Source organism: Homo sapiens, chromosome 19, assembly GCF_000001405.40.
Source record: "Homo sapiens chromosome 19, GRCh38.p14 Primary Assembly".
Lineage (NCBI taxonomy): Eukaryota > Metazoa > Chordata > Mammalia > Primates > Hominidae > Homo > Homo sapiens.
The window spans coordinates 129,781-141,821 of NC_000019.10; positions in this window are offsets into that span (position 1 = coordinate 129,781).

Below are 12,041 nucleotides of genomic sequence, written 5' to 3' on the forward strand. Positions count from 1 at the left end.
AGCCACAAAAATCAAGGTGGGAGAAATACTTATTATATGTCCATAAAAAATTTTAATTAATGCAAAGTATTAACACCAATGATTGCAGTAATACAGATCTTACAAATGATAGTTTTAGTCTGAACAGGACTATCCAAAAGTTAATTTTCTATAGTAACAGTTTTTAAATAAAATATCAATTCCTGAAACACATAAAATGGTCCATGAGTATACAACGAGTGAAAAAAAACAAATTCAGAGCAAAGATAAATTAAGAAGTATCTAATATTCAAACATAGTCAAAGAGAGGGAGATTTCTGGATAATCACTTAAGCCCATGGTTAAACATAAATGCAAATATGTTAATGTTTACTGAATAACTTATCTGTGCCAAGTGGTGTATTAATGATTCATTTTTATTTTTCACTAAATCTTTTCTCTAAAGTTGGTGTAGCCTGCAACTAAATGCAAGAAATCTGACCTAGGACCTGCACTTCTTACCATTTTGCTCATATTTATTCCCTGTGCATTTTTGTAACATGTATATGTTATATATATAGAAAGAGAGAGAGGCAGAGATGGAAAGTAATTTATGGAGTTTGATGTTATGTCAGGGTAATTACATGATTATATAATTAACAGGTTTCTTTTTAAATCAGCTATATCAATAGAAAAATAAATGTAGGAATCAAGAGACTCATTCTGTCCATCTGTGATAGTTCCATCATGATACTGCATTGTCAAGTCATTGCTCCAAAAATATGGTTTAGCTCAACACTGAGTGACTATAGGAAACCAGAAACCAGGCTGGGCGCTAAAGATGCAAAGATGAATGAGACATCATCTCTGCCGTCCAAAAGCTTACTGTCTAGTGGGAGAGTTACACACGTAAGGACAGTAATCTAATAAGAGCTAATAAGTGAAAACTAAGATAAATTAATAATACAAGATTACAGGGAAGGTTTCCAAAGTCAATGAGGCCTCAAATGAATCTTGAAAGTGTGCAAGGATTAACCAAATGAAGAAATGTGTAAGTTTTTCAAACAAAAAGGAACAGCATGAGCAAATGCAAGGAGGCCTAAAATAAAGAGATGTGTAAAGAGGTGTAAGCAGCTTTGTGCTACTGCCTGATAATTAGAAGAATATCGGGAGTAACAAGAGCTATAGAAGAGAGTCACAATTATGGAAAAATATTTATTAAATTATAAGAAATTTATAGCATAAGGAATAGTAGGACCATTAAATGTTTTAATAAAGATGATGCTTCTTTTTTTAATATTTATTTTTATTATACTTTAAGTTCTAGGGTACATGTGCACAACGTGCAGGTTACATATGTATACATGTGCCGTGTTGGTGTGCTGCACCCATTAACTCATCATTTACATTAGGTATGTCTCCTAATGCTATCCCTCCCCCCTCCCCCCACCCCACAACAGGCCGCGGTGTGTGATATTCCCCTTCCTGTGTCCAAGTGTTCTCATTGTTCAAGTCCCACCTATGAGTGAAAACATGCGGTGTTTGGTTTTTTGTTCTTGAGATAGATGATGCTTTAAATTGACCACTCTAGCTGCATTGTGGGAGGAAAAAAAGATTTTAAAACAAGACTAGAAACAGAATAATTAGAAAAATGCAACTACAATGCAGATGAGTGATTATCAAGGTCTGAACTGAATAGTGGAAATAGAGATAAGGAGGCAAATTCAAGATATGTGCGTGACAGTAAAATTAACATGACCTAGTGTTTGATTGACTCTGTAAAGTGAAAGGAAAGGATGAATAATCAACAAATAATATTTATTCTACCAAATGCCTCCATGCCGCTTTGATGACAGGATAATATGTAAGCTTTTCTATATTTCAGAAACTATATGACATGACGAAAAGTAAAAAGGGGATGGGGGTAAGGAGGTATCCTGAATTGACTGAGAAATAAGGAGGTATTCCACAGAGAATATAAATAAACATATACTTAGTGTTCAAGGAATAATAAAAAAGAGAACATCTATGTGTCCACCATACAGGATATGAAATAGAACATTTGCCGGCCATGGTGGCTCACACCTGTAATCCCAGTACTTTGGGAGGCCGAGGTGGGAGGATCACTTAAGCCCAGGACACAGGTTGCAGTGAGCCAAGATCACACTATCGTACTCCAGCCTGGGCCACCATGTCTCAGAAAAATAAAAAAAACTAGATGTCTTGGAGGATTGGAAACAAAATAGAACTTTACTAGTGCCTTAGACGCCCATTGGGTGCTCCTTGCCAATTGTGTTCTCCTTTATTTCCTGCTGGATATGACCACTGTCCTTCCATTGCATTGTATGTGTTTTTTAATAGACTTTAATGGTTCTCAAGTGATGCATTATTTAGTTTGGTTCTTTGAAACTTATATAAATGAAATTATTTTGTAGAAGTTCTTTCACCTTTATCAGAAGGTACTTTCACCTTGATTCAATAATAAGTTTGCATATTACAACCTTGTTGAATGTTGGTGTAATTCATCCATTCGTATTGCTATATGATATTCCACTACATGAATATGTCGGACTTCATTCCTCAGATCTATTGTTGATGAACACTTGAAATTTTTCCAGTTTTTAACCATTACAAACAATGCTGCTATGAACATTCTTTTGTAAATCACCTGGTTCATATGTGCAAGATATCCTCTGGGGTATATATTTAAAAGTAAAATTATTGAGTTATTCAACATTACCATGAGATGCTACACTATTTTTTTTAACAATCCTACCAATTTACACTTCTACCACGAACAGATAAGCATTACCGTTGGTCTTCATTTGTAGGAACCATATTTGTCTTTTGCTCTGGGGGCTTTGTTTTGTTTTGCTTTGTTTTTTGCTTAGAAGTGCTTTGGCTATTAGGGATCTTTTTTTGGCTCCATGTGAACTTTAGGATTTTTTTTTAATTTTGTGAGAAATAACGTTGGTAATTTGATGGGAATTGCATTAACTCTATAGATTGTATGGGTGATATGGTCACTTTAGCTATTGATTTTTCTAATCCATGAGCATGGGATGTTTTTCCATTTGTTTATGTCATCTATAATTTCTTTCATTAGTATTTTGTAGTTCTCTTTGTAGAGATCTTTCATTTATATAGTTATGCATTCCTAGGTATTTTTCATGGCTATTGTAAATTCAGTTGAGTTCTTAATTTGGTTCTCAACAAATTAATCTCAACAAACATTCAAACAGCTTGAATGTATTTGGTGTATAGAAATACAACTGATTTTTGTGGCTTGTTTATCCCAAGACTTTACTGAAGTCGTGTATCAAGTCTAGGAGTCTTCTGAAGACTTTAGGGTTTTCTAGGCCTACAGTCATGTCATCAGTGAGCAGAGATCATTTGACTTCTTTTCTAATTTGTATACCTTTTATTTCTTTCTCCTTTCTGATAGTTCTGGCTAGCACTTCCAGTACTGTATTGAATAGGAATGAAGAAGGTGAACATCCTTGCTTTTTTCCAGTTTCTAGAAGCAACACTTCTAACTTTTGCCCATCCAGGATGATGTTGGCTGTGGCTTTGTCATAGATGACTCATTTTTTGAGGTATACTCCATCTATACCTATATTGTTGAGGGTTTTTATCATAAACAGATGTTGGATTTTATCAAATGCTTATTCTGCATCTAATGAGATGATCATAGGGTTTTTGTTCTCAGTTCCATTTATGTGGTGAATCATGTTTATTGATTTGTCTATTTTGAACCATTCAAGCACCCCTGGAATAAAGCCCGCTTGATCATGATGAATTATCTTTTTGATGTGTTGTTAGCTTCAGTTTGCTAGAATTTTGTTGAGTATTTTTACATCTGTGTTGATCAGGGATAAGGATTTGTAGTTTTCTTTTGTGTTCTTTTTAAAATTTTCCTTGTTAATTTTACTGCACAGTATTATTTTAATGATGAATAAAGTGTTGAGCTGGACATGTGTACCTTGTTCCTCGTGTTAGAATGAAACTGTTTAATATGTCATGATTATTTATAATGTTGAGAGTAGTTTTTGTGTATATATTAAGATATTTACATCAGTTCTCTTCTATTCCTAGTTTGTTATTATTACAAATAGTTTCAAATGTGAACAAGTGCTTTTCCCACAGCTATTGAAATAACCATATTTTTTTCTTTTATTCAGTTAATGTGGTTAATTTCATTGTTTGGTTTTCTAATTTTAAACCATACATTCTTGAAATTACTGCACTTAGTCACGATGTATTTTTCTTTGGAGTATATTGTTGGATTATATTTGCAAACATTTTTGTTTAGAATTATTATGTAGTATATTAGTCTGTAATTTCATTTCTTTTAATATCCTTGTATGGTTTTACTATCATGGAGGTACCACCATATAAAACAAGTTGGAAAGTGTTATGTCTTCCCAATTCTCTAAAAATATTCATGTAACATTGGCATTATTTCTTTATTAAATATTTGGTAATATTTCTTTATTAAATATTGCATCCACCTAGCCCTGGAGTTCTTTCTACAGGAAAAAAAAATTTTCTAAATAAAATTTCTACAATGAAAAAAAAACTACTCAGTTTTTCTAGTTTTTTTCTGATCATTTCATAAAAGTAGGTATTTTTCATAGGAACTTGACCATTCCTTATGATTGTCAAATTTATTAATATAAAGTTTCATATTTTATATTTATTTTATCAGATAAATAAAATTATATGTTTTGAAATATATATTCATTGTAAAATAGCCATGTTAAGCTAACATATGCATTACCTTACATGCTTATCTTTTTTTATGAGAACACTTAAAAATCTACTCTTAGCAATTTTGAAGAATACAAGTACATCCCCTATGGAGAACAGTTTGAAGGCTCCTCAAAAAAGTAAAAATAGAGCTACCATGTGGTCCAGCAATCCCACTGCTGCATATATACCCCCCAAAAAAGAAATCAGTATATCGAAGAGATATCTGCACTCCCGTATTTGTTGCAGCACTATTTTCAATAGCGAAGTTATGGAGTCAACCTAAGTGTCCATCAACAGATGAATGAATAAAGAAAATGTGGTACTTATATACAATGAAGTATTATTCAGCCATAAAAAGGAATGAGACCCTGTCATTTGCAACAACATAGATGAAACTGGAGGTCATTATGTTAAGTGAAATAAGCCAGGCACAAAAAGACAAATACTATGTGTTATCACTTATATGTGGAATCCAAAAAGCAAACAACTGAACTCATGGAGATAGAGAGTAGAAGGAAGTATACCAGAGGCTGTGAAGGGTAGTGGGGGTTGGGAGAGGTGGGGGATGGTTAATGGGTACAAAAAAAGAAAGATTTAATAAGACCTAGTATTTGATAGCACAACAGGGGGATTGCAGTCTAAAATTCAATTATACATTTAAAAATAACTGAAAGAGTATAATTGGATTGTTTATAACACAAATAATAAATGCTTGAGGGGATGAATATCCAATTTTCCATTATGTACTTATTGTACATTGCATGCCTGTACCAAAATATTTCATGTACCCCATAAATGTGTACACCTGCTATGTACCCACAAAAATTAAATTTAAAAACAATACATTGTTATCCACTATAGTCACCATATTGCACAATAGATCTGTTGAATTCATTCCTCCTGTACAATGCAATTTTGTACCCTTTGACCAACATCTACCCAATCCTCCTGGTAACCATCATTCTACTCTGTACTTCTATGTGTTCAGCCTTCTTAGACCTCCACATACAAGTGAGATTATGCAGTATCTGGCTTTCTGTGCCTGGATTATTTTACTCAGTATAATGTCCTCCCGGTTCATTCATGTTGTCACAAATGATACTTTTTTTATTTTTTAAGGTTGTATACTATTCTATTGTGTATGTGTGCCACATTTTCTTCATCCACTCATGTGTCGATGGATACTTAAGTTAATTCCACATCTTGGCTGTTGTGAATAATGCTACAATAAATATGGGAGTACAGATAACTCATTGACACACTGATTTGATATCTTTTTAATATATGCCCAGAAATAGCATTACTGAATCATATGGTAATTCTATTTTTACAGAATCATTTATACTGTCTTTTACAATGGCTGAAATAGTTTACATTCTCAACAATTACAAGGTTTTCCTTTTCTCCACATCCTCTCCAACACTTGGTATCTTCTGCCTTTTCTGTAACAGCCATTCTAACGGATGTGAAATGGCATTTTATTGTAGTTTTAATATGCATTTCTCTGATGATCAGTGATAATTAGCATTTTTATATATCTGTTGGCCATTTGTATGTCTTCTTTTGAGAAATGTCTATTTAGATCCTTTGTCAATTTTTCATTAGGGTTCCTTGTTTTCTTATTATTGTGTTGTTTGAGTTCCTAAGATATTTTGGACATTAGCCTCTTATCAAATGTATAGTTTGCAGATAATTTCTCCCATTTTGTAGGTTATCACTTCACTCTGTTGACTTTCTTTTGCTGTGCAGAAGCTTTTTAGGTTGATGCTATTCCATTTGTGTTTTGTTGCTTTTCTTGCCTGTGCTTTAGAGTCATATCATAAAATATTATTGCCCAGACCAATGTCTTGGAGTTATTCCCCTGTTTTCTTCTAGGAGTTCTATAGTGCTAGGTCTTACATTTAAGTCTAACTTATTTTGAATTTATATTTTTATATGGTATGAAATAAGGGCCTAAGATCAATCTTGTGGACATTCAGTTTTCTCAACACCATTTTTTGAAGAGACTGTTCTTTCCCCATGTGTGTTCCTGGCACCTTTGTTGAAAGTCAATTGACTATAATATGTAGATTTATTTATGGGCTCTTTATTCTGTGTAATTGGTCTATGTGTCTGCGTTTATGCCAGTACCATGGTGTTTCGATTGCTATAGCTATGTAGTATAATTTGAAGTCAGGTAATGTGATATCTCCTGCCTTGCTTTTTTCGATCAAGATTATTTTGGCTTTTCAGAGTTTTTTGTGATTCCATACAGATTTGAGAGTTGTTTTTCTATTTCTGTGGGAAAATGTCATAGGAATTTTGATAGAGATTGCATTCAATATGTACATCACTTTGGATAGTATGGACATTTCAAACATATTACTTTTTCCAATCCATGAACATGAGATATCTTTCCATTTATTTGTGGCTTCTTCAATTGTTTTCATCAATGTTTTGTAGTTTTCAGTGTAAAGATCATTCACCTCTTTGTTTAAATTTACATCTAAGTATTTTTTGTTGCTATTATAAATAGGATTGTTTTCTTGATTTCTTTTTTTGTATAGTTTGTTGTTGATGTGTAGAAATGCTACCGAATTTTGTATGTTCACATTGTATCCTGCAACTTTACTAAATTCATTTATGAATTCTAAATTTTTTGGCAGAGTTATTGGTGTTTTCTGTATATAAGATCATGTCAACTGCAAACAGAAACAATTTAACTTCTTCCTTTCCAATTTTCATGCCTTTTATTTCTTTCTTTTGCCTAATTGCTCTGGCTAGGACATCCAGTACTATGTTGAATAGAAGTTCTGAGAGTGGGCACCCTTGTATGAAGTTTTCCACAACATCTCTTATCTTTTTATTAGCTATATATTAATACGGATGTTTCTTCTTCATCAGGAGTTTGAAAAATATGTCTTTTCTCTATATTGTTCTTAATCAGTCTTCCTAGAAGTATTTCAATTTCAAAAAGTAGCAACAACTGTGGGAGTTCAGTCAGGCTGGTGGGAAAAATTTTAAAGATAGTTATAAGAAATCGACACAAACCTTCATGGAAGGCTGGGGGTGTTGTATAGCTTCAGTAATAGATCTGAATGAAGGCGGCCTAATCCTTCCTTGAGTAAATAGCTTAAAGTAGGTGCAAAGGAATGTAAGGGAGTTTATCTAAATAACTTGTTTACTCATGTGGTCCTGAAGCCAACCTTTGATCATTCACAGGCAGGATGGCTCTCTCTCGGGGGAGGGTGACCAGGTTAATTACCCTCTATTTGTGTTGACTAAAAGCCCCTGTCATTTAATGTTTTTTCAATAAATGCTGGCAGGGCTAGCTAGTCAGGGCTCGTGGCTGCCAGAACTCTTTCTGTGCATGGCCCAGCCCCCTAGCGGCTCTTTCACTGAATAATTGGTGTCTGAGTACATTATTCATCCCTCGTGCAGCTGGGGTCTGCAGGACAGACCCCCACAAACAACAATTTGCAAAAGCAAACTTCCCTGTTTTGTTTTTTTCCCAAGATGATAAATTAGAGGCTTTTAGTGTGCCTCGGCCACTTAGAAATAGCAAGAGAGTGCACAAAGGTCAACTCTGTGAGCTCTAAGTCAAGAAGGAAAATGGGAATCCACCAGAATCATGAAGGACATCATAGATCCCAAGAAGGAGAATGTGAGCAAACAGTCAACATGACAGCAACCAGCTTATAAAAGTGAGCGAAGTCCTAGTATGTGAGAGAGGCAGAGAGCCTCCCTCTGTAACTGACATTTTCACTGTGAATCTGAGCAACCCCAGCCAAGTTGTTGCATTTTGTTTCTCCCAAGGCCTGGAGTCAACATGGGGAGAGGCTTGGAGATGCTGTGAAGCAAAGACACTGGGAACAGCTGCAGACATTTTCCCAGACCAGGAAGTAAGAGCAAGATGCCATTTTCAATCTGGATGCATGCAAAGTCAGCTTTTTTTTTTCTTTTTGTGACCCAGCAGAATGCCTGCACAGGCATTTTAGTCTCAGGCCAAAGATTGGAACAACTGCTTTGGGGCTTGGTAGGGACCTTCACAGCCATATTGTGGAAAACACCTCAGCAGTATGTGCTGGAATTGTGCTTTCCCCCATCGCAGCCTCGGGGCAACAGAAAAGCTGCTACAGCTGTAATTTCTCCCAGGTGATGAAACTTGCAGCCAGGGCCAGCTTGGAGACCTACAACCAGTCTGCAGGTGTCATTGCTGGGTGCCCCAGCCTGTTCCCCTGAGAATGTGATACAGCAGGGCTTTCTCTGCTTCACCCCCAGGCAGAAATTCAGGCATTGGAGCACCTGTCTACCTGGACCAGCATCCTGAGCTACCCCACCGTTTATAAACATAGGTTGTGGTGCAGTGGGGCCCTCTCCAGTCTATGGCCAGGCAGATTTCCAGGTATGTGGAGTACCCACTTGACTGGATCAGCAGCCTGAGCTTCCCCAACCTTCCTGTGCTGAGATTATAGTGCAGTGAGGCCCTCTCATCTCCACACATAGGCAGACCTCCAAGCAATTAGAGCACCTGCTCCTATGGAGAACTTAAATTTACAAGAAAAAAAAAAAACCATCAAAAATTGGCCAAAGGACATGAACAGACAATTCTCAAAAGAAGACATGGATGTGGCCAACAAACATATGAAAAAAAGCTCAAATCACTGATCATTAGAGAAATGCAACTCAAAACCACAATGAGATACTATCTCAAACCAGTCTTAATGGTGATTATCAAAAACTCCAGAAACAACAGTTGCTGGTAAGGCTGTGGAGAAATAGGAATGTTTTTACACTGTTTGTGGGAATGTAAATTAGTTCATTCACTGTGGAAGGCAGTGTGAAAATTCCTCAAAGATCTAGAACCAGAAATGCCATTTGCCCCAGCAATCCCTTTACTGGATATATGCCCAAAGGAATATAAATCATTCTATTATAAAGATACATGCACAGGGCTGGGTGCAGTGGCTCACACCTGTAATCCCAGCACTTTGGGAGGCCAAGGCGGGTGGATCACCTGAGGACAGGAGTTTGAGACCAGCCTAGCCAACATGGGGAAACTCCATCTCTACTAAAAATACAAAAATTAGCCAGGTATAGTGGTGCACACCTGTAATACCAGCTACTTTGGAGGCTGAGGCAGGAGAATCGCTGGAACCCAGGAGGCAGAGGTCAAAGTGAGCCAAGATCATACCATTGCACTCCAGCCTGGGCAACAAGAGCAAAACTCCATCTTAAAAAAATATATATATATACATATACATACATATATATACACATATATATACATATATACAGATATTATATATGTAAATGTATATATATGTGTATATATATACACATATATATACATATTATAACTACATATATATACACACACACATACATATACATGCACACATATGTTTATTGCAGCACTATTTACGATAGAAAATACATGGAATCCTCCCAAATGCCCATCAATGATATATTGGATAAAGAAAATGTGATATATATTCACCATGGAATACTATGCAGCCGTTAAAATAAATGAGATCATGTTCTTTGCAGGGACATGGATGAAGCTGGAAGCCATCACCCTCAGCAAACTAACACAGGAAAAGAAAACCAAACACCACATGTTCTCAGTCGTAAGAGGGAGTTGAACAATGAGAGCAAACACATGGATACATGGAGGGGAACAACACACACCAGGGCCTCTCAGCGGGACAGGGGTAGGAGACCATCAGGACAAACACGTGGATACATGGAGGGGAACAACACACACCAGGGCCTCTCAGGGGGACAGGGGGTAGGAGACCATCAGGACAAACACGTGGGTACATGGAGGGGAACAACACACACCAGGGCCTCTCAGCGGGACAGGGGGTAGGAGACCATCAGGACAAACACGTGGGTACATGGAGGGGAACAACACACACCAGGGCCTCTCAGGGGGACAGGGGGTAGGAGACCATCAGGACAAACACGTGGGTACATGGAGGGGAACAACACACACCAGGGCCTCTCAGGGGGACAGGGGTAGGAGACCATCAGGACAAATAGCTAATGCATGCAGGGCCTCATACCTAGGTGATGGGTTGATGGGTGCAGCAAACCACCATGGCACACATTTACCTATGTATCAAACCTATACTTTCTGCACGTGTATCCCAGAACATAAAATAAAATTTAAAAAATATATACACTGATTCATGATCTCCTTTCTCTCCTTCTGAAACACTCTTTAAAACTTTTTAGCATTTCCCCCTCTGTCTTCCATGTCTCCTAACTACATGTTTCTTATTTTCCATGTCTTTATTCCTGTGTTCATTTTGGATAGCCCCTTCTGACCTATATTACAGTTTACTAGTTCACTCTTCAACTGCTTCTAACATACTAATATTCTGTTAAAACCATTCATTTGGGTTTAAATTTCAATTATGTTATTCTCTATGGACATTCTATTTGTTTTCTTTTAATCTTCTTGGCCATTCTCTAGAGTTTCCTGTTCCATTATGATATTTTTAATTTTTTGTTTTACTTTAAACATACTAAATATAGTTATTTTATTTTATTTTCTGTATCTGATACTTTCAATAACTGCAGTCTTTGCTAGTCTTTTTTCTGTGCTCTTGCTCATAGTTTTTTTCATTTGTTTTCATGATTAGAAAAACAGAGAGAGAAGAAGGAGAGTAAAGGGAGGAGGCGGAGGAGGAGAAAAGAAGAAAGCAGAGAAGAAGGGACAGAGAAAAAAAGGAAGTTGGTTCTAACGTTTCTCTAACAACTGGCTTCAGTGAAACACTCCCACCTTGTGGATTTTTAGGTTATTGAAATTAACCAGTCTTCTGGGTGCAGCACACCAACATGGCACATGTATACATATGTAACAAACCTGCACTTTGTGCACATGTACCCTAAAACTTAAAGTATAATAAAAAATAAAATAAAAAGCTACACAAATTTAAAAAAAAAGAAATCAACCTAATTCCTAGATTACCACCTCTTGATTCAAATGCTTTAAATCTAGGCTTTTCATCTGAGTCTTTCTTTTTAGTTATTCTGTTTATCTTCAAAACACTCCTGCTTTGAATCATTCAAAATCTACCTCCCTCCCTCTGTTTGACTACCATCAATTTTTTTGCTCATTCCTAATGCATTAATCTATTAGCTGTGAATATCCAAAAACCCTCATTTCACTGAATCTTTGACAGACCCCTTTGCATCCTCTTGTTCTTCTAATTATTTCCTCAGAAACTTTATGTTCTCTTTTCTTTACAAGCATGTCATAGTTTATATATAATGTGTGTATTGTTTTTATATATACCTATATATAGCCTCTTTTTAAAAGCACTATACACCATGCTTTGAAA